The sequence below is a fragment of the Homo sapiens genome, chromosome 2 (genome assembly GCF_000001405.40).
Source record: "Homo sapiens chromosome 2, GRCh38.p14 Primary Assembly".
Taxonomy (NCBI): domain Eukaryota; kingdom Metazoa; phylum Chordata; class Mammalia; order Primates; family Hominidae; genus Homo; species Homo sapiens.
The window spans coordinates 99,238,420-99,266,055 of NC_000002.12; the positions used below are offsets into that span (position 1 = coordinate 99,238,420).

The following is a 27,636-nucleotide window of genomic DNA, read 5'->3' on the forward strand; positions in this document are numbered from 1 at the left end:
CCACACTGCAGAGGCCAACACCTATTTCTTATTAGGTCACAGTTCTCTCAGCAGGTGAGGCATTAATGGCCAAGAAAAAGAAAGGATGAGAATACAATCATGAATAAGTCTAGCAAGGGAAATATTTTTAGGTGTTTTTATTATTTTTTATTTTTTATTTTTTATTTTTTTGCTCTGGAAACTGTTAGTCCAAACTGCACCATTTTGTAACCCCCCAGCCATTTCGCAGACCTCGGTCAAAGTGAAACATTCCACAGGGGTTCGGGCTGTGACAAACAGCCTGCCCAACCGCTTGACTCTCTTATTATATTCTGCTGGAAGAAAGTGTAAGGAACCTCACACTGCACTGGAACAGGCACCAAACTGCCTAATCATGGGAACATGTTATCAACATTTTCCCAGGCAGCAGGCCATGCCCCCTGTTCCAGACCCCTCCCACCTAGCCTATAATTGCCCCAGCCTGTAAGTGGCGATGGCCATTGGCATTAAGCTGCAGGTCTTATGCTGGACATAAAGCCGGCATTTGCTGTAAAGCCACCACTCTCTCTCTTTGTGTCTTTCTTTAACCCTAGCCTTCCCTTCAAAACCCAACAAAAACTATTTATAAGACAATTTTTCTTCATCCTCCAGTAAGAACCTAATTTTTTGTTTGTTTGTTTTGGTTTGGTTTTGGAGTTTTTTGTTTGTTTGAGACAAGGTTTTACTTTGTTGTCCAGGCTGAAGTGAAGTGGTGCAATCATGACTCACTGCAGCCTCGATCTCCCCGGGCTCAGGTGATTCTCCCCCTTCAACCTCCTAAGTAGCTGGGATTGCAGGCGTGTGCTACCATGCTTGGGTAATTTTTGTATTTTTTGTAGAGATAGGGTTTTGCCATGTTGCCCAGACTGATCTTGAACTCCTGGGCTCAAGCAATCCTCCTGTGTTGGCCTCCCAAAGTGCTGTGATTACAGGCGTGAGCCACCATGCCTGGCCTAAGAACCTAGTTTTTGGACAACTATGAAAGTGCTGTTTTACATAATAGGATGTAGACATGTAATAATTCATAACACCTGAAGGGGGCACAGGCAAAAAATATAAAGAAAATTGAGAATGACTGGATATCATATCTAATGGTGCCACATTTGTGTCTAACATCTTTGACATTGTTCTCAGCAAATCCCTGGGAATCAGCTGTTGAGCTAGATGGAGATGGGAAGAGGATAAAGACTGAGATAGATGGCTGGGCACAGTGGCTCACGCCTGTAATCCCAGCACTTTGGGAGGCCAAGGAGGATGGATCACCTGAGGTCAGGAGATCGAGAACAGCCTGACCAACATGGAGAAACCCTGTCTCTACTAAAAATACAAAAAAAAAAAAATTAGCCGGGCGTGGTGGTGCATGCCTGTAATCCCAGCTACTTGGGATGCTGAGGCAGGAGAATCGCTTGAACCCGGGAGGCAGAGGTTGTGGTGAGCCAAGTTTGCGCCATTGCACTCCAGCCTAGGCAACAAGAGCGAAATTCCATCAAAAAAAAAAAAAGACTTGGATAGTTGTATTATATCTATTAATTCTAACAGGTTGTGGAGAAGCTTGGCATGAAAATCATGAGGCATAATGAAGTTTGTGTGTTATTTCCAGATTGTTCTTACCATGTTGTTAAGTCATAGATGAAAACAAGCAATGTTTGAAGGATAGTCCCAACCTCCAGGTGTACCTAATCCTGATGAAGCCGATGCTGTTAGCACCCTCCCATATCCCTGGGCCTTTTAGAATTTTCAGTTGATTTCCAACTGTCAGTATTTGTACCTCTGTACCTGCAGCCCCTTTTCCTTGGAAATATGTGTTGCTTATTTGCAAGGCAAACCGGAGTAGCAAAGAATTAACACCCCCCAAAGCCCTACAGGCAGATCCCTCAACCAACGGCTCTCAGGAGTTGATGTATAAATGCCCCAGCTCCTTGTACCTTGGGCAGAATAATTCTGTGGTGTGGGTTTTGCACCATTCCTAGAAGTTTTCTTGCAAGGTTGAGCTCAGGTGCCCACTGTGGTAGCTGGCTCGGTGACACGTTTTATTGGCTGTCCTACTGTCCCTGTATCATCCAGCCACCTCATACGAGCGTTCCAAAATAAACTACCCACACTGGAAACCTTGCCTCAAGTTCTGCTTCTGGGGAACCAAACTAAGACAACTTGAATGTGAGGTCTCCCATGGGACATCTCTTGCATCCTAGTCATAAAGAGAACACTGGGGGAATACATTCAGGGAACACGTGAGCGTACTATTTCTTGTTTTTCAAATTACCTGAAAGTGATCTCATCTAGATGTACTTTATTGTTGAAGTAGTGACATTGAAGGGGCTAGTGATTAGATGAAATTCATGCATGTGAGGGAAAGCCCAAAATAAATCATTCCTGAGCAAAGTGAACATCTGAAGAGCATCCTGGATGGCCCACATGCAGGGAGGATAATAAAAATATTTAACACCTGGTACAGCATGGGCCTCAACCAGTCATAGAAGCTGCTGGCCTACCTGCTAAGGGCCTGCCACACAAACTGACCATTGGCCCTGCCCAGTGAAACAAGGATTCCTGGTGCTGCCTGGGTCAAATATTCAGGCTGGGTTGAGAGGTCAGTGGGCAAAGAAGGATTTACTTGGCTTTCTCCAAGAGGGCTCAGAGGCAGGTGTGTATGATTTTGATTCCTTCTCAGAAACAGAAGTGATGGACTGAAACATTCATTGAACATCTCCAAAGGGAGTTAAAGGCCCAGCAGGGCCACAGTGTCACACGTCCACTTTACACTCCAACGTGTTATCACTTGTGTCCTCTCCTGACTATGGAAGTAAAGGCCACAAACAGCACACAGTTTCCTTCCAGAGAGTTGTCTCTTCTCCATTGTAGGTAGTGTGAGCAAGACCAAGGTAGCAAAATAGCCAAAGGGTAGGTTTGTATGTGACCCAAGATAAATAGCTCCGAACCTCTCCTGGCACTATGAAAGTGACGCAGAATGAAGACATAATCAGAAACAGGTGTTTGGAGTACATATATGAGGATACTGGTGAGGGTGCTAATTCATTTGCTTACTATGGATGCTGTAAAGTATGGTTAACCCATTCCTGCTACCCAGACCCCAGAGTTGCCTGGTGTCTCTTCATCTCCTTGACCTTCTTAGTTTGTTCTGTTAGCCTTCCAGTAATTTCTTTTTAATGCTTAAAATTTCTATAAGTGGTTACTTTTGCTTGCAACCAAAGAACCATAATTGATTTGGGTCCTACATGCTTATCTTCAGCCATGTTTTGTGAGGGATGGACCCCGTGAAAGAAAGCGTGTGGCAGCAACTGCTGAAAATAAGAAAAGCCAGTCCCTGGATCTTCACAGACAAAAGAAAACACAGGAGGTTGCTGTGGGTTTGAAGGACTTGGTGTATCTAACTTGAATGACAGCTTCACCTCAGTTGGCTCTCAGTTTCCCATGAAGCTAGAATTCCATCCCTATTTCTTCCATTGTCCCATGGATTGGCTGGCTTACGAGTCAGGAACTTCTCATAAGCAAAGCCTGAGGGCTCTGGGCAGATACTGGAAAAAAGACAAAGGCTCGGGTAAGGCTTACTTAACTTGTTAGCAATTCTGGTAGACAGGGAGTAGGTGGGCATTGGAATCACAGGCTAAAATGAAGCCTGGCTGGAATACCTAGGGACCATTTGCCATGATATTCACATTTACTGCAAAGTAATTATATATATGTCTATGTCCGTTTCCTAGGAACCATATTGTGAACTGGATGGATTTCTTTTATTTTTCTTTCCTTTTTTCAATGCTTATTTTCATTCAGAAAATTGGGAAATGAATTTTCTTTCATGATTTTAATCATTTCTTTGCCAGTGTTGTATACAACACATTCACGTAAAACTCTCAAAGGCGGCCATCTGAGCACTCTGCCAACCTGGCCCACCCACAGAGCTTTGCCTAGAAGCTTTGTCTTTTATAGAACTTAGCTCGAGCAATGATATCATTGACGAAGTCATTGTCTATGTCCGATGGGGTGGCAATCGCTTCAATTCCTGACTTAAAAGCTGAGAGACCACCTGAAATGAAACACAGAGAATTAGGCTCAAATATTAACTTTCAACAGAAATAAGCAATGAGCATTGCCAAGATGTTAGCTTTCCAGGCAAATCTTCCAAAGCAGGCAGTCCCAAATCCTCCTCCCTCTCCCTCCCTTTCTGAAAGGACGTGCTATCCCAAGAATCACTGGGAAAATTCCAGATTGCTTTCTTTCTCTTTTTCCAAAGTCTTTGGTTTTTCTTGTTGCAAAAATCAGATTTGCTTTTTTATGTAATCCAGGCCTGGCAGAACTAGACTCCCAGTACATCCTCTGCTGAAAATGCTTGTAACATTCTCTCATTTATTCAATAATTCACTCATCTATTCACTCACTCATTTATTCATTCAGGAAATGTTTTCAAGCACCTACTATGTGCCAGGAGAGGTGCCACACTGACTGCAAGGTACCCAAGACACACTTATTTCTTTGGGTATGTGTACATATGCATGTGTGTGCTATTTTACCCTAGAATTTTATCTCTAGTAGTTATGTATGTGTTTAACATAATTGTGCTCTGCTCTGATATCCAGAGAGGAAGATGCCTGGTCCTGATCCCTGCCTTCAAGGACCTTGAAGTAGAGACTAGAAACTGTTCTGATTAAGGCCGTTAGAGTGTGGAGGACATAACATTGGCCAATAGGAGGCAAACCTAATAGGAATTGATGTGGTTGGGTGTGAAGAGAGAAGGAACCAGAGAGCCTAAGAAAGCAATCTGGTTTTCAGGCTGGGATGACTGGCTATATTATGGTGCCTCCAAGACATGTAAAATGCAGAAGAAAGAGCAAATTTATAGTGGGAAGTTAGTGAGTTAATTCCATCTGGGAGATGCTGAACTTGAGGGGGCCTGTGGTCAGCCAAGCAGAGATTTCCACTTGGATATATAGCACCTGAAGTCCCGAAAATACTCACAGAGTAACATTGTTCAGACAATTTGGAAAGTTGTTGACAGTTTCTTATAACAGGAAAAAACCTATGAGAGGTAGGCAAACAGATAGATAGATAGATAGATAGATAGATAGATAGATAGATAGATAGATAAATTTTTTTTTGAGAGATGGGGTCTCACTCTGTCTCCCAGGCTGGAGTGCAGTGATGTAATCAATGCTCACTGCAGCCTTAACCTCCCAGGCACAAGCAATCCTCCTGGCTTAGCCTCCTGAGTAGCTGGGACTGTGTGTCACCATGCCCAGCTTTTTTTTTTTTTTTTTTTTTTTTTGTAGAGACAGGGTCTCACTATGTTTCAAGGTATCACTCAATAGCTCAGTAAGCAATGAATAAGAACCCCAACATTCTGCAGAAGAGGAAATGGAGGTTGAGGATGGAGGACCTCTCAAAGTAACTCAGTGGTTCAGGGAATGCAAATGCAGCCTCTAGACAGCTCCTCCCAGGGCCACTGCTGACCCCGTGGAAATGCTCCCAGGGAGTCTCGGGTCACACTGGCCTTCAGTGGTCTCATTCATTGCTCATTTAAACAAAGTACTCAGAATACAGCCTACCTTTGAGGTGCTGAGCAACACTCCACGTGGGGAATTTTTTCTGGATTGCCTTAATTCTCTCTGTTAGAATCCCAGTAGCCTGTGAAAGGTGCTCTTTGCTATCCCAGGCACCGACAGGGTGGTACGTTTGTTTATCAAGCTAGAAAATTCAGATAATAAAGTCAGCATCTGGATGAGGTAACACATTTTTTCTGCCATTCCTAATTTCCTCTCCTGGTATTCAAGTCATAGATACCGGCCTTTATCCCCAAAGAGTCAATTCTATTGTTCTTTCTTTCATATAGATGAGAGTCAGAGAAACAAAGTAAGGTTTGGGAGAAATGGACATGGTATAGTTTTAGCTAAACATTCTAATATACAAAAAAAAAATTTAAGTTGTTTTGAAACAAATAACACCCAAAGTCTACACATTTATAGTAATAAATAATTATCCAGCTAATTCAGATAAAAATTTGTTTCTAACTGGGAAGGCCAGAAGTCTGTATTTCTACAGACAATTTAAAATCGAGCCTGGAAGCAAATATCCAGATAATTTGGATCCCCTTCCTCCAGTTTACCCAAAGGAACAAGTTGTTTCAAGTAGGGCACAGTTATACCATGTTTTGATCCACATGGATGAAATTTACTACTTCATGAACCCCAAGAGGACACCTGTAACAATAATGCTATTTATAAGATTTTCTCAGTTTTAGTGTATTACATATTATTTATTGCAGAATGGTAGTTATGAAACTCCTAAAATACTTTTTAAAATATATCTAATAATGAATAAGCCTTGAATAAAATAAAAAGATGTGTTACAGAAATCCCAGATCAAATTATGCTGGAGTGGCCGGGCACAGTGGCTCAAGCTTGTAATCCCAGCACTTTGGGAGACTGAGGTGGGTGGATCACCTGAGGTCAGGAGTTCAAGACCAGCCTGGCCAACAAGGTGAAATCCCGTCTCTACTAAAAATACAAAAAATTAGCTGGGCATGGTGGCGTGTGCCTGTAATCCCAGCTACTCAGGAGGCTGAGGGAGGAGAATCACTTGAACCCGGGAGTGGAGGTTGCAGTGAGCCGAGATCACGCCATTGCACTCCAGCCTGGGTAACAAGAATGAAACTCCATCTCAAAAAAAAAAAAAAAATTATGCTGGAGTACCTGTAGCCAGATGCCAGGGTATTTTGGGGCTTGGAAGCACTGCAAATGGATTTCTAGTTCAGGTTGAGCTTCTGTGAGGAGGGATGCAGTGGGGCTGATAGAAAGTTTCTAGCTAAATACCTGCATCAAGCCAAATTTAAGTCCCCTGTGGTCCCAGCCGTCTTGCAGGACAGATCCGCCATGGCTTTCCCTGGAGATGATGGCTGCGATGACAGCAGGGTCCACGCAATGTCTCTGCCCGACTTCTTTGATCAGAGTCTGGTAAGGTTTTATGGCCCTCAAATCCATCTCAGCAAACATTTCAGAACCACGGATCCCTACGTCAATAGAAAAGAAACTGTTTTTCCGGGCATGGTAGTGTGTGCCTGAAGTCAGTTCCTGCTACACAGGAGGCTGAAACAGGAGGATTGCTTGAACCCAGGAGGAGTTCGAAACCAGCCTGGGCATCATAGTGAGAGCCCATCTCTAATTAAAAAAAAAAAAAAAAAGAATTTAAAGTTAAAAAAAGAAAAGAAACTGTTTCTTCTACTTCAGAAGAAAACCATTTTTAAAAATTTGCTAAGTTAGCCACAGCCTCTGATCACTGCTAATGACTTGGGACAACCATTCTAAGACATCCTTTTGATCTCTGACTGCAGAAACAAACAGATCCACAACCCCCAACAGGTGTCGCTTCTGCTCTGTTTCTCCTTCAAATTGCTCATGCCTGTAATCCCAGCACTTTGGGAGGCCGAGGTGGACAGATCACTTGAGGTCAGGAGCTCAAGACTAGCCTGGCCAACATGGTGAAACCCCATCTCTACTAAAAATACAAAAATTAGCTGGACTTGGTGGCAGGCACCTGTAACCCCAGCTACTCAGGAGACTGAGGCAGGAGAATCGCTTGAACCTGGGAGGTGGAGATTGTAGTGAGCCGAGATCATGCCATCGCACTCCAGCCTGGGTGACAAAGCAAGACTCTGTCATACACACAAAAAAAATTCTGCCACACTAGTGCACTGGGAAGCCTGTTGTACTAGGAGTTAGCCAATGCATGTTTTAGCCTGGCTCCGCCACTAGTTGGTTCTGTTCTATTGGGAAGTATTCCCCTCCTTGCTGAGTCTTTGGGCTCTGATTTGTAAATTTGAGGGGTTGGGGTCTGATGTGACCTTGTGGTTGCTGCCAGCTCCGACACTCTAAAACCAGGATAACGTGATGAAGACGACTTTGGAACAGTATTGCTTCAAATGGTCATGTGTAACATGAAGCAAACACAGCAGCACCACCCAAAAAACAAAGCCAGAGTCTAATATTTATTCAAGCAGTAGTTTCAATACATGGAAATAAACACAGCTGGACAAAGTTTGGAAAGAATGGGGGTGGAAAATGAAAAGAAGCTGGTTGTTAGATTGGTCAGGATTGTGGTTTTTGCTCATTTTTAATTTTGATACTATTGTCATAATGATGATTATACCTTTTCAAAATTAAGTGACTTCCTAAGAAAGAATCTGAAAACGATGAAAGGGGGAAGCCAGTCATTTGCTCTGCTTTTCACTTACCGCAGTTCATCACACTGTTTGCATCACAAGTGGCCCCAGAGGTCTTCATGGTCATGATGTCCCCATAGCAGCCGTGGTACAGGCGTGGATGTAGGTGAGGCTTCATTGAGTGACTGAAGGGGTATGAGCCCCTGGAAGTGCCTAGGAGGCAGAAGTGTAACTCACATGAATCCTCTGAGAAGATATTACTTGGGTTGCTGCAATAAACATCACTAAACCAAAGGCAGAAGGCCACAGACAGAACTCCCCAACTCTCTTGTTGCCATTATTTGTTCCTCAGACAGAAGTTCCCCATGCCCACTCTGCTCCGATCTTTTGTTTTGTTTTGTATTAACACAGGACGTAATCTGAAAACTCTATGCAAAATATTATGAAATTCATCTCTTATAGATCCTAAATACATGTGCAGTCTTTTTTTTTCCTTTTTTTAAGAGACAAGGTCTTGCTCTGTTGTCCAGGCTGGAGTGCAGTGGCATGATCATAGCTCGCTGCAGGCACCAACACCTGGGCTCAAACTATCCTCCCACCCCAGCCTCCTGAGTAGCTGGAACCACAGGTGCATATCACCAGGACTGGCTTATTTTCTCTTTTTGTAGAGATGGGGTTTTGCTATGTTGCCCAAGCTAGTCTCAAACTCCTGTGCTCAAGCGATCCTCTCTCCTTGGCCTCCCAAAGTGCTGGGATTACAGGCACTGTAGTCATACCATGCTCTATGTCAGAATTAAAACTGACAGGTTTTTAAGCAGGAAACTTGAGAGTTTTTTTTTTTTTTTTAAGATTCAGGGGGTACATGTGCAGGTTTGTTACGTGGGCATATTGTGTGATGCTGAGGATTGGCCTTCTATTGATCCTTCACCCAAATAGTGAACACAGTACCTGATGTGTAGTTTTCAACCCTTGCCTCCCTACCTTCCTCCCTCCCTCCTTCCTTTTACAGTCCCCAGTGTCTATTGTTTTGAGAGGAATTTTAAAACATTTCTGACACAAATGCCTCTGGAGATGTGAACATCTAGATTAACAATTTGCCTTTCTTAAGCCAAAATTGACAAATGGGGTCTAATTAAACTAAAGAGCTTCTGCACAGCAAAAGAAACTACCATCAGAGTGAACAGGCAACCTACAAAATGGGAGAAAATTTTCGCAACCTACTCATCTGACAAAGGGCTAATATCCAGAATCTACAATGAACTCAAACAAATTTACAAGAAAAAAACAAACAACCCCATCAAAAAGTGGGCGAAGTACATGAACAGACACTTCTCAAAAGAAGACATTTATGCAGCCAAAAAACACATGAAAAAATGCTCACCATCACTGGCTATCAGAAAAATGCAAATCAAAACCACAATGAGATACCATCTCACACCAGTTAGAATGGCAATCATTAAAAAGTCAGGCAACAACAGGTGCTGGAGAGGATGTGGAGAAATAGGAACACTTTTACACTGTTGGTGGGACTGTAAACTAGTTCAACCATTGTGGAAGTCAGTGTGGCGATTCCTCAGGGATCTAGAACTAGAAATACCATTTGACCCTGCCATCCCATTACTGGGTATATACCCAAAGGACTATAAATCATGCTGCTATAAAGACACATGCACACGTATGTTTATTGCGGCACTATTCACAATAGCAAAAACTTGGAACCAACCCAAATGTCCAACAATGATAGACTGGATTAAGAAAATGTGGCACATATACACCATGGAATACTATGCAGCCATAAAAAATGATGACTTCATGTCCTTTGTAGGGACATGGATGAAATTGGAAATCATCATTCTCAGTAAACTATCACCAAGGACAAAAAACCAAACACCACATGTTCTCACTCATAGGTGGGAATTGAACAATGAGAACACATGGACACAGGAAGGGGAACATCACACTCTGGGGACTGTTGTGGGGTGGAGGGAGGGGGGAGGGATAGCATTAGGAGATATACCTAATGCTAAATGACGAGTTAATGGGTGCAGCACACCAGCATGGCACATGTATACATATGTAACTAACCTGCACATTGTGCACATGTACCCTAAAACTTAAAGTATAATAATAATAAAATAAAATAAAATAAAATAAAAATAAATAAATAAAATTCAAAAAAAACCAATTTGCCTTTGTTTAGAAAGATAAGAAAGAAGGGCACCATAACAATTTAAATATATTCTTATTATATATCATTTACTGTGAAGTTGAGTTCCTATGTATATTTAATAAAATTAGAAGTAAAAATTGAATTTGCCAAAATAATTTAAGTCAAATCTATTCTTGTCTTTTTGTTCTGTCATTAAAAAGTGAATTTCTGTCCAAGTCTACCTGTTACAGGAGAGGCAGAGCTTTTGCTAAAGGAGATACAAAGTTATTTTCTGTAATGTTGAAAAGTTTGTTCTAACGGTTTCAAGGACTGTTAACTTGTACCTTAAGAGTCCAAATATTTGTTATAAGACAGTACTTAGGGCTGGATGTTGTGGCTTATGCCTAGAATCCCAGCACTTTGAGAGGCTGAGGCAGGACGATTGCTTGAGCGTAGGAGTTTGAGACCAGCCTATGCAACATGGCAAAACTCATTTCTACAAAAAATACAAAAATTAGCCTGGTGTAGTGGCACATGCCTGTAGTCCCAGTTGCATGGGAGACTGAGACAGGAAGATTGATTGAACCCGGGAGGTCGAGGCTGCAGTGAGCTTTGATGGTGCCACTGCACTCCAGCCTGGGCAACAGAACAAGACCCTGTCTCAAATCTCAAAAAAAAAAAAAAGGATTTTGTTAAAATGTTTGATGTAAAAAAAATAGAATCTGGTTGGGCGTGGTGGCTCACACCTGTAATCCCAGCACTTTGGGAGGCCAAGGCAGGCGGATCACCTGAGGTCGGGAGTTCAAGACCAGTCTGACCAACACGGAGAAACCCATCTCTACTAAAAATACAAAATTAGCCAGGCATGGTGGTGCATGCCTGTAATCCCAGCTACTCGGGAGGCTGAGGCAGAAGAATCGCTTGAACCCAGGAGGAGGAGGATGCAGTGAGCCGAGATCGCGCCATTGCACTCCAGCCTGGGCAAAAAGAGCGAAACTCTGTCTCAAAAAAAAAAAAAAAAAAAAAAAAGAATCTAACCACTTCTCCCACCTCTGCTTCTGCCATAGTCCCAGCCAGCATCATTGCTCATCTGGACTCTCCTAACAGCCTTCTAACTGACCTCCCTGATTCACTCTTGCAGCCCATCCTCTACTTAGTAGACGGAGTGGCCCTGTGGGAATATGCATGGGCTGCTATCAGTCTTCTCTCTTAACCTTCCAGTGGCTTTCTCCTCCTTTAGGGGAATAGCCAAGTCCATCCTGCAGCCTCCAAGACCTACTAGATGTGGCCCTCTGCTCCTGTTCCTACTTCTCTTTCCCTTTGTTCACTCTCCTCCAGCCACATTCTTCTTTGTGCTTATCCTTCAACATGCCAGGCAGGTTTCTGCCTCAAAGCCTGTATGTTTGTGGTCCCTTTTGCCTAGAATGCTATTCCTCCTGGTATCTACATGATCATGCCTTCAGGTCTCTGTCCAAATATCACCTTATCAGCAGAATATATAGCGAGTTTATAGACAAAAAAAGAAAATAGTCCTTAAACATATAAAAGACGTTAAACCACACTCAAAAGAAGAGAAAGGCCACATTAAAACATCATTATAACAGCATTTTCCAACTCTTTTTTTTTTTTTTTTTTTGAGACAGAGTCTTGCTCTGTCGCCCAGGCTGCAGTACAGTGGTGCGATCATGGCTCACTGCAAGCTCCGCCTCCTGGGTTCATGCCATTCTCCTGCCTCAGCCTCCCCAGCAGCTGGGACTACAGGCGCCTGCCATCACACCCGGCTAATTTTTTGTATTTTTAGTAGAGGCGGGGTTTCAGCATGTTAGCCAGGATGGTCTCGATCTGCTGACCTTGTGATCCGCCCACCTTGGCCTCCCAAAGTGCTGGGATTACAGGCGTGAGCCACCACGCCTGGCTGCATTTTCCAACTCTTTAGTTGGCAAGAGCCCAAAGGTTTGGCAATACCCTCTGTGGGAGAGGTTGTGAGGAAATAGGCTGTCACACACATTGCTGTGGAACACAGTTTTGTGATAGGCTGTTCATTCCAGCACTGTTGATAAGAGCAAAGGACTGCAAACAACACAAATGTCATTAATTTAGGGACTGGTTGAGTAAGTGATGCTACGTCCACAGTGGAGCACTATGCAGCTGCAAAAGGAAAGAATAAGACCTGTATATACTCCTGTAAAATTCTCTCCAGGGACAAAATAGTATTTATAGAATTGTACTCTTTGTGTAAGAAAGGTAAGAAAATACAATCGTATATTTTGTGTGATTTGCTCATATTTTCAAAAGAAACAATACAAGGATGAATGAAAAACTGATAAAAATTGTTAGTTATGGAGAGAGTAAGAGGAAGGTAAAGGGAACAGGGATAGGGGATAGACTAACTATCTTTTTTAAAGTTTTTATTTTGGAACCATGTAAATGTTATCATAAATTTTAAAATTAAATCAAATGGGGAAAAATGGAATCATAAAAAAGAAGAACAAATGAACATAACTCTATAACAAATTGAAAGATTAATAAACACATAGAGGAGAATTATCTTAAGTGACTTTAAAATATATCCATATAAGTCTATACCACTACATAGGAATCCATCCTGTGAACATAAATAATCACAAGAAAATCTTAAATTATATTTACTGTCTCATTGTTGGTTGGTAATACTGTCATACTTATTTTGACACTATTGTATGTAAATAAGTAATAATGCTAATGTCATTAGAACTAGGATTTTTAGTGTAAGATAGCAGAGGTACAAATATAAAACTGATGTAAAATGCTTGCATTCTTAAATATAAATGTGAAATATCTGAATGCATAGTTGTTTTCCTTTTAAAAATATATATTTTCTAGTTCCTGCCACTGAAAACACCTGAAATAAACGACAGCTCCATAGCAATGGAGCACTTTTACTTCCCACACTGTGGTCTCTAAATACCATTTCCTGCTAAGTGGAACCAGCGCTCCTCAGAATAATGGCTGATTGCCTGCCTGGGGCAGGAAATGTTCAAGATGAACCAGGAACATCTTTTTGTGCCAGAGCTGGTCCTTATATGTTAGAGACACATTAAAAAAAAAAATTTTTTTTTCCAGATGGAGTCTCACTCTGTCGCCCAGGCTGGAGTGCAGTGGCCATTCTCCTGCCTCAGCCTCCCAAGTAGCTGGGACTACAGGTGCCTGCCACCACACCTGGCTAATTTTTTGTATTTTTAGTAGAGATGGTGTATCACTGTGTTAGCCAGGATGGTCTCAATCTCCTGACCTCTTGATCCGCCTGCCTCGGCCTCCCAAAGTGCAGGGATTACAGGTGTGAGCCACCGTGCCCAGCCCAAAAATTTTTACAGGTGAAATGTTTTTATCTCACTGCAAGCTCCGCCTCCCAAGTTCATGCCATTCTCCTGCCTCAGCCTCCCAAGTAGCTGGGACTACAGGTGCCTGCCACCACACCTGGCTAATTTTTTGTATTTTTAGTAGAGATGGTGTATCACTGTGTTAGCCAGGATGGTCTCAATCTCCTGACCTCTTGATCCGCCTGCCTCGGCCTCCCAAAGTGCAGGGATTACAGGTGTGAGCCACCGTGCCCAGCCCAAAAATTTTTACAGGTGAAATGTTTTTATCTCCCTCCCTTCCTCTCACTCTTTCCCTCTCTCTTCCCTTTTTCCTCTCACTCTCTTACTGTTCGTTCCTCTCACTAGAAGATAAATTTCATTAGGTCAGATACTAGATGTTTTTCTCTGCTATATCCTCCTCAGCACCTGGAACAATGCTTGGCACAAAGTAGACATTTAATAAACATTTGCTGAATGGAAGAATGGATAGTTGGATGGATGAAGGAATGAGACAGAAAGGGATTGTTTAAATTATCTGGATCAAGTGTCCTTATATTGACAGGTTCAGTATCCTTTCACTGGGAGGCAGTCTTTGCCAGGCTCACTGTGTGGCCCACAGACCACAGGCATCAAAGTTACCCAGGAAGCTTATTAAAAATGCTTATCACTGGGCCGGGCGTGGTGGCTCACACCTATAATCCCAGCACTTTGGGAGGCCAAGGCGGACGGATCACGAGGTCAGGAGATCAAGACCATCCTGGGTAACACAGTGAAACCCTGTCTCTACTAAAAATACAAAAAAATTAGCTGGGCATGATGGTGGGCGCCTGTAGTCCCAGCTACTTGGGAGGCTGAGGCAGAAGAATGGTATGAACCCAGGAGGCAGAGCTTGCAGTGAGCTGAGATCGCACCACTGCACTCTCCAGCCTGGGCGACAGAGCAAGACTCTGTCTCAAAAAAAAAAAAAAAAAAAAAGGCTTATCACTGGGCTTTTCACACCAGATCTACTGCACCAAAATCTTGCAGTATAAGGCGAAAGAAGCTGCCTTTTACCCAGCATTCCCAGTTGACTCTTACACATGTTTATGAACCACTGCTTTAAGGGAACTGGAATATGACCATGGACCCTACGCTGCCTGTGTAGGCCTTATAAACACACAAGCCCTTTTTAAATTAAGAGTCACCTTTCAGCTATACACAGCTAATATGGTAGCTCATAATTAATCTACTGGCTATTTAACTCTGCTCTCACCTGGCAATCTAAAAAGAGTAAAAATTTAAAACTATGTTGCCCTGTTTTGACCATAAGTAACTGGAAATTACTTTCGGGTAGCCTTGTTTTTCCAAATTTAGAATTAAACATTTTAGAAACACTTTCCTTTCAGTCACCATTCTATAATTAAAGACAACTTGAACATTGCTCATAATGGCTTTTCATTTTGCTTAGGTCAGAGTTTTCACATTCTCTTATTCAAGATCCCTTACCAACTTACCAACCTATCTTTCCAGCCTTCCCCCCAGAAACCCCCTCGTCTGTCCAGACCACACTGACCCAAAGACTTTTCATTCATTTCTGCCTCTGCTTTTTTACTGAAATCTTTCTTCCCATCCAGCAGGCTCTTCCTTTTTCTTATTAAATCACCAAGCATCCTTCAATTGACATGTCCCCCCCAAAAGCCTTTCACATCTGAGCATTCTAGTTGGATGTGAGCTCTTCCTCCCAAACCTTTCCCAGACTAGTGCTTTTTTCCCACCTATACACATTGAACTCTCATCCACTGCTTGGCATTGATAATTGTCTCTTCATGTGTTTTGCTTCCAAGGCACTGTTCCATATACCTCTCGGTAAGGTATCCAGCCTGATAGGTGCATTGTCAGACAGGAAGTAAGCAGATCAATAAATATTAGATTATTTGAAATTCCCATAGATCCTGTTTTTCACCTGCTTAGCAAGCAGAACACACTGTTAATTATAGAAATAATAGTTGATTAATGGCCAAGCTGGTCAGAATGAGAGCCCACTCTTCCATTACAGGTAATCATTGCTCTTTCTGATTCATGATTGTGCTGGAGGTTTTTGTGGACACCCTGTGAACAATGCTAAATCTCAGCCAGTGACTTACCAATGAGGGCAATTAGTCCCCAAAACACCACGGAGGATAACATGGCGGGGAATCTTATCTTCCAGGACCTGCTCTGATTTGAAATAGAAACTGGTTAATTTTAAAACCTGAAAATTTCCTAAAGAAAAATTTGCTTTGATATTTTAAAAAGTTTAGAGTTATTTCCAATTCACTACTCATTTCCCTGTTTCAAGATAGTATTCTCACAGGCTCAGTACATAGTTTGTTGGCACACTCTCTTTCTTAAGCATAAACTCCTAATCTCACTTCAATCCAATTTCATATTGACATGAGTCATGCGTATCTTACATATGTAACTAAATATACACTCCCATCCCACCTCTAAGCTTGGTAACACCACAATTTTGTTCCCTTTCTTTTTAAAAAAAAAAATACTGATCTTTTCATTCTAGTTATTCACCCTACCCCTGGCTTCAAGGATCAGTTTTGGTCTTTCATTCATTTATTTAGAAATGGGATCTTGCTCTGTCACCCAGGCTGGAGTGCAGTGGCATAATCATAGCTCACTATGGCCTCAAACTCCTGGGCTCAAGCGATCCTCCCACCTCAGCCTCCTGAGTAGCTGGGGCGACATATGCGTGCCACCATGCCTGGGTGTTTCCATTCTTATACCAGGGTCTCCGTAGGGAAAACAAAATAAAACAAAATACCAACAGGAGCATGAGAACGTGACTTAGAAGAGGTTTCCTCTGCTCCATTTCTTCCTCAATCAACTCTATTCTTGGTTTCATTCAAATGGTAGCTTATAAGTTTTACAAGACATAAGAAGGCCAGCACTAACCTTGTTTGCAACCTTACAGAGAAAATCTCCCCTCTCTGTTTGCAAAGGTCTTCTGTACTCAGCAGCAAACTGCACTTCAAGCTTTTACAAAGCGACGGCCTTTGTCCTGTAACATAGGCTTAACAATTGGAGAATCCATTAGTCAGTAGATCACTGCGCACCTGGCTTCAACAGAGTAGACATCAGCGTGGCTCTACTGCTGTGGAGGAAACTTTTAAACACCAGCATGAAGACTCACCTGGCTTTTCTTACCTTCGTCCTGTACCAATGATCATTAGAGGAGCTTTATATATGGTTTAAAACCCTCTCTTTAAACCATTGACCTCATTAGGCCTGGTTATAATAGTACTTAGGACTTAGGTGACCCAATTAATAAGAGGATTTCAAAGGGCTTATTAACCACTATTAATTAATTAACCTAATGAACCCCCAAGTTGCTCAGGAGGCATATTTTGATAGATTGTTTCTAGATATCTAAAATTGTGCCAAACAGCTTCTAAATTTGCGAATAAGAAACAGATAATTCACTTTAAAAGGATAACAGGAAATACTAGCAATTTTTATTCTTGGATTGGTTATTTACCTGAAATATTGGGTCTCCTGCTTTTTGTTCCCATTCCAATGTCATATGATCCCCGTACCAGTATGTCACATGATCTCAAACCACTATGTCACATGATCATGATAGGTGAACTTGGCTCCTTACTCCAATCCCACTTCTGAGAAAAAGGTGCAAGTGTGGCCACCTGCTCTAGGAGATCAATGCAAAACCAGGGAGTAGCAACGTGAGTGCTCATTTGCCCATACTTGCTAAGGATATGGGAAAAAAGATTATAGCCAGGGATGAAAACTTCTTCAAGAAGAGAGTATCTTTCTTCAGGCTTATGTCCAAAGGAAGAGAGGAAGCATATTGTGCAGCCCCAGGAACAGGAAATGGAAGGGACGTTCTTGAAACAGGCAAAGCACATTGCGCTGAGGGGAGGAAGAAGTCTGGTCTGGGTCCTTCCACAAGCGTGTCCAGTTTCTCAGACTGCACACAGTCCTCCCCCACATCCACTGAGTGAAGAAAGGTGGAAGGCAGCTGTACAGGGAACAGGAAGACAAAACCACAGGCAACTTCCCAGCTCCCTGGCAATAAAACCACCTCCACTCCCAGGAGAACATGCCCTCCCCAAGCTGAGGTCTGCACAGTCCACTGGCATTCACTTCTGCCCTGCCTGCCTTCCTGCTTGTAGAACAGACGTCTCTGGCATGGCCTCTAGCCTTCCATCCCTGGAAGAGTGGCAGGGCTGTTCTGAGCCAATGGATGATTCCTACCTGACTCTCAGGAAAGTGACCCATGGAGGGTCTGCTCCACCACCATCAACACTGCAGTCAGGACCACTCTTGAATAAGGGATATTGCAGGAGTCTAACTGCCCTGAGGCAGGCCTTAGAAACCCATAGTCTATGACCCAGCGACATTGTGCCCGTGACCCACTTCACTGCAGGGTGAGTAGAGCCACTTACCTGAGGCTTCCAGGCTAAGTGCAATGAGAAAGCTCAAGAAAGGGAGATTAAGAAGTTACGAATGATAAGTTAGGTAAAAGAGAGTAGGTGGAGGCTGGGGCTCTCCCTACATGCACTGGAAGAAGACATTGTTAATAAAACATTTAAAGCACTGTTGAATGTGAAGAATACTTATCCTTCTGCTCTCAGTTAGTGGGGCTACGAGTCCTTCTAGGTATGAGGTCCTTAATGTCCAGGCTTCTGCAACTCAACCAAAATTGTTTTCAAACTGATGTGGATTGTTCTGTTCACTCAAGCTGTGAGAGAACAATTGAACATTTATTTGACACCCAACATTAGTCAGGTTCCTATGGATATTATATGACTCAATCCTCCACTGGCCCTGTGAGGCAGGTATTATCCCTTATTTTAGAGATGAGGAAACTGTGACTCAGAGAAGCTAAGTAACTTGTCAAAGATGGCACAGTTAGCATGTGACAGAGCCAGGATTTGAATCTAGGCCTGTAAGATTCCAAAATCCATGCTCTTCCACTGTATCGAAGTGCCAGCACGATGGACAAATGCCTCTGCAGAGCAATCATTGCAACAGGTCCAAATCAATCTGGATACAAAGCATTGTCCGTGGTCTGGAAAAATAACACCACTCACAGATTTTTATACCACTATCTGTCAAATGTTTGTAGGTGCTGTTGTAATTTCTAAAATGCAAATTAATATAAGTTAACTAAGTCCAAAGTGGTTTTTTGTCACTTTATATTTTCTCCACCAGTAATAATAATGTAGTTAATACGCACTGACCTTGTATGGTATGACTGGTAGAATAATAGGAAGGGGCATAACCTAAGTTTGTTACATTCTGAAGCCTAACTCTTAACTGCAGTACCCTACTGACCCAGTGGATGGTTAAGTGTGGGTACTATTGTATAATGACCTTAGAAATTTCTTGTCACTAAGAAGAAATGTACTGAATAATTCTCCATCTCTTCCCAGGGATACCAAGAATGACTACATGTAAGTTGTACTGTTATTTCCAGGAGGGGCTTGAAGGGAACTTGGCACCTGTCATAATCTCTATCAGTCCCCAAAATAAAAACACAATCTATATGCAAGCAATTTCTGTGCTATACAAATAAAACTCTATGGCCTGGTCCCCTACCCCTCAAATCAGTTGCCTGCTCCTAAGACTCTTCAGTGCAGCAATTCTCTGGCAGCTTCTGGGGAGTCCTAACAGATTTGGGGTTCCTGGCTTCAGTGGTGGAGACTCCAATCATCCCTAACGACTAAATGGCCTCAGCAATTGGAAAACTTCAATGGGAAAGTTTAAGCAGTACTGTCCTAGTTAGGAGGAGAGGAATGATTATGAAAACTGAGGTACTCTGTATAGCCAGGGAAGTAGATTCTGGTAGGAGTTCCTGGCAAGACTTCTCAATTCATACCACACAAAGACCTGCCCTTGTGCCCTGAGCTACCCTAGGTTAGCACTTTTGGGAGTTAAAGGAATCCAGCACCTCAGGCTCCCTTGGTCCCCTCGCCCTCTGCGTCCCCACCTGCCTCCCTCCCAACACTAGTCTGTGCTAATAGAGACTGGGTTGTCTCCGCCATGTCATTATTTGTGAATCCCAGGCACAGCTTTCCCTTCTCAGGAACAACAGCCAAGGAGGATGACCATAGCCAACTCATTTAACCTCCCTGAGCCTTAATTTTCCTCATCTGTAAAATGGAGATGATAATAATGCCCCATGACTTTGTTTTGAAGACAAAAATAAATTTTATATGTAAAAACATGTTATAAACTACAGTGCTTCATAGAGATGCCAGTTACTATCATGATGGGTTTGCACTCAAGTCCTGATGGCTTAGCTTCTTGTTGATTTATTCATTTGTTTGTTTATCCATGCACTCAGGAAAAATAAACAGCTGAATTATAGGACAGGAAGTAGGAGGTGAAGTCTCTCTCCAGCCATGAAGAAAACTTGGCAGGACAAGCAAGAGCTATTCATTGTCAGGACTCTGTAGCCTGCCTGGTAGGAGTGGAGGAAGGATAAGTTCAGAAACAGCCACACAAGCAGCTGCAGCCCAAGCATCTGTTTCACAGCTCTGAAACCTATAAAATGGGGGAGCTGCCCAAGAATATGTGGCAAAGGTACTTTGGCGCCAATGGCTGGTAAGAAGGCAGAAGGGGAGCCCTTCCATAAAATTTCACTAAAACATTCAACTTAACCCCAGGATATATCAATGTCAAGCTTTAACTGCTGTGTGCTTTTCTTGTCTTGGTTTTAATCTACTATATGATAGGTAAAATGCAGGGTATGCCCTGTTGAAGAAGCCACTTATATGGTTGCATTATTGGTCTTCCAATGTCAAACATTTGACCAACATTTCAGGAAAGAAGATATACAAATGGCCAATAAAGCTCATGAAAAATTGGTAAACATCTTTACACATCAGGGAAATGCAAAATAAAACCAAAATGAGACAGTATTTCACACTCTCTAAAAAGGCTAAAACCAAAGACTAGCTATATCACATATTGGTGAGAATATGAAACAAAACAGAACTCTCATACATTGCTGGTTGGAGTATAAAATGGTATGATTGCTTTGTAGTACTGTTCAGCAGTTTCTAACAAAGTAAATAACTATATGCCTCAGGAATTTTATTTCTAGTTATTTACCCAAGAGCAATGAAAAAAAAAAAAATGTCTCCCAAAAGACTTGTATGAGAATCTTCACAGATTGTAAGTTCTGCAAAGAGAAAAGAAAAAAAAAGAATTTTTACAGTGCTTTATTCATAATAGCTCAAAACTGGAAACACTCCAAAAAATTCATCAACAGAAGAATGGACTAACAGTTGTAGTATAACGATATAATGGAAAAATACACAAGTTAAAAAAAAAATCCAGGAAAAAATTCCAATGAACCTGGGCTGGGTCAGGTGCCCACCTCTGGATCATTCAACCATGTCTAGGAATATATTTGTTTGAAAAAGGGACTCCCTGTGGTTTGGAAAGGAGAAGGGAGAAGTCTGAAACAAAATTTTAAAGTAACGTTTTCATTTTGAAATAGTTTAAATTTCACAAGAAGCTTCAAAAATAGTACCAAGAGTTCTCATGTACCCTTCACCCAGCTTCCCCCAATGGCAATGTCTTACATAACTATAGTACATGTCAAATCCAGAACATTACCATTAGTATTATACAATACTGTAAACTTAGGTACAGACCTTATTTGGATTTCCCCAGTTTGTTTTTACACGCTCTTTTAAAAAAAATATTTATTTATATTTCAGAAGCGTATAGTACTGTGAACGTTTATCCCACAGGTAGATGCAAGTAACCATCACCATAATCAGGATACAGAACTGACCCATCACCATAAAAAGACTGCCTCATGATATCCCCTAACTATGTCTTTCATTGTGCCAAAAGTAAACTTTTTTTTTTTTTTTTTTTTGATGGAGACTCACTGTTGTCAGCCTGGGCTGGAGGGCAGTGGCATGATCTCGGATCACTGCAACTTCCACCTTCCAGGTTCCAGCAATTCTCCTGCCTCAACCTCCTGAGTAGCTGAGATTACAGGTGCCCACCACCACACCTGGCTAATTTTTGTATTTTTTAGTAGAGATGGGGTTTCACCATGTTGGCCAGGCTGGTCTCAAACTCCTGGCCTCAGGTGATCCATCTGCCTCAGCCTGCCAAAGTGCTGGGACTACAGGCATGAGCCACCGTGCCCGGCCAAGTAAGCTATTTTTTAAAAACAGCTTGATTTGAGGTATAATTCACATATCATAGCCTTCACTCATTTAAAGTGTGCAATTCAATGGTTTTTAGTATGTTGATAAGAGTTTTGCAACCATCAGCATAATCAATTTTAGAGTATTTTCATTATCCATGGAAGAATCTCCACAACCATTAGCAGTCATTCCCAGTTTCTCTCCCCTCCCTCTTCTCTCCTGTTCACCCTCTGACCCCAGGCAGTCACTTACCTAGAAGTCTGGATGATTTTGTAAAAAACTGCTCTATAGTTGTTCACTATACCTGTGATGGAGAGAAGAGCTGGAGCAGTATCTGGAGAAGGACTTGTGTCAAAGACAGTCCTTTTGTCATGGTTTAACCTGGGAGTGACTTGAATATAATCAAATGCTGTAGAAAATGAGGATACAAAAAACAATAGGATTATTTGGTCAGGTAATGATGTTGAAGACGCTAGTTCAAAAGCTTAAGCATAGAAATTGGCCTGAGGCAGGAATGGGACTGCCTCTTCCATTGTAACAGAAAGAAAAGAGAAAAAAATCAGATAGCAATGCAGTTCAGTGTATAGAGTTGATAGGAGAAAACTGAGGGAGTTATCTAATGATTTTTAAGTCCTTTGTGAAACAGGAGGTCAAATCATGTGCTGAGAGTAAAAACTACGTGGACTTAGAAAACGGAGAGCATGTGGAAAAGCTACCCGGTAGAATTGGAGAGACAGCTGAAAGAGAGCCAAAAAGATGAGTGGGGTTTACATATGGACTAGTTGAGATTGGAGTCCATAAATGTTCATTTGGAGGTATTGAAATGCTGGGGTCTGACACGGCAACCTAAGTACAGACAAGGAGAAAACAGAGGGCTGGAGTGGTCCAGGGCTGAGGTGCAGCTCTGCGGGGGCCATGCAAGGAGGATACAGGGACAAGTGAGATGGAGTTTGGCAAAGGAATGGCTTAAGTAATGGCAAGTGGATTGGAAATGAAGGGAAGAAAGTAAGGGGCTATCATGGGGCCAGTGGGAAGATTTAAGCTTAAGGTTTTGGAGGTGGAGTGTATCGGCCATCCTTTTCTCCCAGCTTACTTCTCTTACCTTACCTCTAACTCCACCCGCAGTTACAACAAACAGTAGCATACAAGCTTCAGCCTGCTTTGCTCAGGCCCTTTCCCAAGTGCTTGCTCACTCCCTCGTGCCTGCTTCCTGCAGTCTTGATTTCTAGGAGAACTGGAATCCCCTGTGGACCTCTCCAACTCATTCTCCTTAGTAACCTGACCAAAATCAAGGGCAGAAGGATGAGGGGGTGGATGGTGAGAGGAATAAATCAGGCATGCAGGGGCTTGGGCTATCGCATATCCCCACAGACAGTGGAGGAGCAGGCAGGTGTGGGTGATTCTGGGCTGTGTGTGCAAAGATTCTGGTGACCTTTTATCAGGCCAGAGGCCCTCACAGTGCAAAGAGAGGAAGCAGGGGTTAGGAGCCTCAGCTGGAGGCTTCTTAATAATAAGTTTTCTTGTTTAACAACAGAAGGATGTTCATACTGTTAAGCTCTTTACTTTACTTAAGCAGGTTATTAAATGGTATTAATGAATGTTTCCAATTTTGTTTTAAGTGTGTGTATATGCAGGCATGGAAATTAAGCTGAATTGCATCTTCAACTATACCAGATGTTACAAAATTCTTCTTCAAAGCAGCTGTACCACATTTACCCCTCTAAAGCAGGATGTAAGTGTTTCCATGCTCCATATCTCCACCGAGGTTTGCTATAATTAGACTTAAATTGGGTGAGAAAAGTCAGTTTCCTGACTGAGGTTGGGCATCTTTTCATATATGCTCATTGGCAGTGTCAGTTTTACCTGCTCTGAACTGCCCGTTTGTATTCTTTGATCACTTTTCACTGGGTTGTTTGCCTTTTTCACATTTTATTTATTTGGCTTTAAAAATTTTTTATATCACAAGATATCATCAACTTTTTCTCATTTTTTAAAATAGAAGTCCTCATATACTATAGTCTGGGTCCTAGTCTTTTTTTTTTTTTTTTTTTGAGATGGAGTCTTGCTCTGTTGCCCAGGCTGGAGTGCAGTGGCACGATCTCGGCTCACTGCAAGCTCCGCCTCCCAGGTTCACGCCATTCTCCTGCCTCAGCCTCCCAAGTAGCTGGGACTACAGGCGCCTGCCACCACACCCAGCTAATATTTTGTATTTTTAGTAGAGATGGGGTTTCACTGTGTTAGCCAGGATGGTCTTGATCTCCTGACCTCATGATCTGTCCACCTTGGCATCCCAAAAGTACTGGGACTACAAGCGTGAGCCACCATGCCCAGCCCTAGTCCTTTGATAATCATATGCCAAAAAAAAAAAAAAAAAAAAGGAAGAAGAAGAAAAAAAAAAAAGAAAGAAATTTTACAAAAAATTACATAATTAAAAGGGATATAATCAGTACCTTGCAGTAATTTTCAAGTGTTCTACAAGGAACTTGTATTAATTTTCAGAAAGACATGCTATATTAAAACTCTTTAGCCATGTCTGATCCCACAGATGATTGCTGTGGAGGGCTACCCCTTAGATGGCCTTCGACCCCAGGTTTTATGAGAACTGCAAGGGCGTCTTCTAGAGTTCTGGCCCTGTGGTGACTGGGATGGTGAGTGTCTTAGTCTGCTATTTTTGCTGCTATAACAGCATACCACAGACTGGGTAATTTATGATAAACAAAAATGTATTGGGCCCATGGTTCTGGAGGCCAGGAAATCCAAGAGCATGGTGCTGGCATCTGACAAGGGTCATCCATGGTGGAATGGCAGAAGGTGGAGGTGAACACACAAGATGGAGAGCAAATGGGGCTGAGCTGATCCTGCAGAAATAAAGCCCCCCTGAGAGAACAGCATTATTCCATTCATGAGGGCGAAGCCTCATGACCTCATTATCTTTTTTTTTTTTTTTTTTTTTGAGACAGGGTCTCCCTCTGTTGTCCACGCTGGAGCGCAGTGGTGCAATTACAGCTCATTGCAGCCTCAACCTCTCTAGGCTCAGGTGAACCTCTTACCTCGACTCTCGAATAGCTGGGACTACAGGTGTGTGCCACCACTCCCCACTAATTTGTATGTGTTTTTTTTTTAGAGACAGGATCTTACCATGTTGCCCAGGCTGATCTCAAACTCCTGTGCTCAAGTGATCCTCTTGCCTCAGCCTCCCAAAGTCCTGGGATTACAGGCGTGAGCCACTGCACCCTGGCACCTATCATCTATTAAAGTTTCCATCTTCCAATACCAGTACATATGATAATTAAATTTCAACATGAGTTTTGATGAGGACGTTTGAACCAATTTTTCACACTTCTCAGGGTTAAATTCAGGGGTGAAGGGATATGCAATGAATTTCAGTTCCAGATGTGTACAGCAATAGAGAGGCATAGGAAATTGTTGGCCTCCCTGAGGCCTCACCCAGGACAAGCAATGGAGAGAGGATGGCTCAGGAATCACCATTGTCAGCAGTTACTCCCAAGATTTGACCCAGGCTCAGTGGGTTTTCCTGAGGCTGGAACAGGAGTGAGAATGTCTCAGCCATGTTCCCCAGCTCCTCCTGGCTCCTGACAATCCTGGGGCCAGAGAATTGACTATTCAAGACAAATGGGTTAATGGCCCAGCGGGTCATGACACACAGGTAACAACAGAGAGCAACCTGTACTGCATTTCCTTGAAAAGAGTCAATTAAAGAAGGTGCTGACCCTGGCAGAGTGAGTGGCTCAGCCAAAACATCATTCTACAGCTCATTTTGTTCTATCTTATTCATCTCAGTCTGATTTAACTAATTTTGCCAGATTCTAGTACTCATCTAAATTTTTCTTAAGGGGTTATAACTGTGACAGAAAAAATAAGTAAAAATATATAAGAAGAAAATGGGAGCTACAGGTTTTATCTTTGCCTCCTCTCTCTTCTCTGTGTAGACATAAGCACAAACACACTAATAATATTTTCACTGCCAAAGTATCTCTGTATTAATTACTCACCTTGAAAATTACCAACTGTCTGTAGAACTGGGCTGAGCCAGGATTGTAAAATAGGCAACATCTATTTAATATCTCATATTGTTGCAGTACTTTGGAATTTTGAGTGGGCTTTCAAATAAGTTAAAATAATAGAAATAACCTTCCAGGAAAGATCAAGCAGATTTTATGTCCCCCATTAGACATATAAGAAAAGAGACTGACTTGCCCAAGACGTCCTATCTAATAAATGATGGAGCTGAGACTGGAACCAAAACATTCAGATTCCGAGTCCAGGGCATTTCTTTCCATCATTTATTGGGTCAGATGATGATTTCTAAAGCATTTTACACCCTGAAACTTCAGGATTCCATGATTTATTTTGTCATTTCCAACAGTCAGGCATTCATGCTCTCACTTGCCATCTGGCTGCACAAAGACTGCCCTTCACTGCCACCTACGCCCACCCTGATTTTAACACTGCCCAGCACCTATGCACTTCCCCCAAAGCACCCATCCCCAGTCCCAGTGGAAAATATACTTATTCGGTGTTTTATGTTCAGAGACCTTCTCCACCTGTGCTGTCCAATAGAAACAAAATGTGAGCCGCACATTTAATTTAAACTTTTTTGTCAGCCACATTGAAAGAAGTGAGATTAATTTTAATGCTACATTTTGTTTAGCCCAATATACTCAAAATATTATTTCAAAATCAATATAAAAGTTGGGATATTTTATAATCTTTTTTGTACTAAATGTGTGTATTTTAGGCTTACAGCACATTGCAGTTCTAACTAGCTACATTTCAAGTACTCAATAGCCACTAGTGGCCACCATATTTGACTGAAGAGTTTTTTTTTCTATTTTTATTTATTTTTAATCTTTTACCACATCTTTTTAAATTTATTTTTTATTTCAATAGTTTTTAGGGAACAGGTGGTATTTGGTTACATGGATAAGCTCTTTAGTGGTGATTTCTAAGATTTTGCCATACCCATCACCTGAGCAGTGTATATTGTACCCAATGTGTAGTCTTTTATTCCTCACCCCCGTCTCACCCTTCTCCCCAAGTCCCCAGAGTCTATTGTATGATTCTTAAGGCGTTGCATCCTCATAGCTTAACTCCCGCTTGTAAGTGAGAACCTACAAGGTTTGGTTTTCCACTCCTGAGTTACTTCACTTAGAATAATGGTCTCCGATGCCATCCAGGTTGCTGCAAATGCCATTATTTTGTTCCCTTTTATGGCTGAGTAGTATTCCATGGTGTGCATGTGTGTATGTATATATATATATAAATCTATCTATATATATATATGTATATATATACATCACATTTGCTTTATCCACTCATTGGTTGATGAGCATTTAGGCTGGTTCCATATTTTTGCAATTGCAGATTGTGCTGCTATAAACATGGATGTACAAGTGTCTTTTTCATATAAAGACTTCTTTCCCTCTGGGTAGATACCCAGTAGTGGGATTGCTGGATCAAATGGTAGTTCTACTTTTAGTTCTTTAAGGAGTCTCCATACTGTTTTCCATAGTGGTTGTATTAGTTTACATTCCCACCAGCAGTGTAAAAGTGTTCCCTTTTCACCATATCCCTGCCAACATCTATAATTTTTAAAATTTTTTTAATTATGGCCATTCTTGCAGGAGTAAGGTGGTATCACATTGTGGTTTTGATTTGCATTCCCCTGATCATTAGTGATGTTGAGCATTTTTTCATATGTTTGTTGGCCATTTGTATATCTTCTTATGAGAATTGTCTATTCATGTCCTTAACCCACTTTTTGATGGGATTACT

General features: G+C 42.0%; 1 protein-coding gene across 2 annotated transcripts; it reads right to left on the reverse strand.

The window, feature by feature from the left end:
• Positions 1–3,826: 3,826 nt before the first annotated feature.
• On the reverse strand, positions 3,827–23,103 carry LYG2 (lysozyme g2). Of its 2 annotated transcripts, none has more exons than XM_017003751.3 (7): positions 17,184–23,103; positions 16,601–16,718; positions 15,799–15,871; positions 8,261–8,401; positions 6,843–7,039; positions 5,580–5,718; positions 3,827–4,063 (listed from the first exon to the last, which is right to left on the reverse strand). In XM_017003751.3, exons 3-7 carry the CDS (start codon positions 15,839–15,841, stop codon positions 3,945–3,947), a joined length of 639 nt encoding a protein of 212 aa, XP_016859240.1. In that variant the 5' UTR covers positions 15,842–15,871; positions 16,601–16,718; positions 17,184–23,103; the 3' UTR covers positions 3,827–3,944. The 2 variants fall into 2 exon arrangements, with proteins under 2 accessions (XP_016859240.1, NP_783862.2); NM_175735.4 differs by having other exon boundaries at positions 15,799–15,866; positions 17,184–17,247.
• Between the last annotated feature and the right edge of the window lie 4,533 nt (positions 23,104–27,636).

Coding starts and splice junctions, on each gene's coding strand:
- LYG2 (XM_017003751.3), bottom strand. CDS start 15,841: ATGTTATCCTCCGTGGTGTTTTGGGGACTAATTGCCCTCATTG. Junction 8,402..15,798: donor GGGACTAATTGCCCTCATTG/GTAAGTCACTGG, acceptor TCTGCCTCCTAG/GCACTTCCAGGGGCTCATAC. Junction 4,064..5,579: donor TGTTGCTCAGCACCTCAAAG/GTAGGCTGTATT, acceptor GTTTCATTTCAG/GTGGTCTCTCAGCTTTTAAG.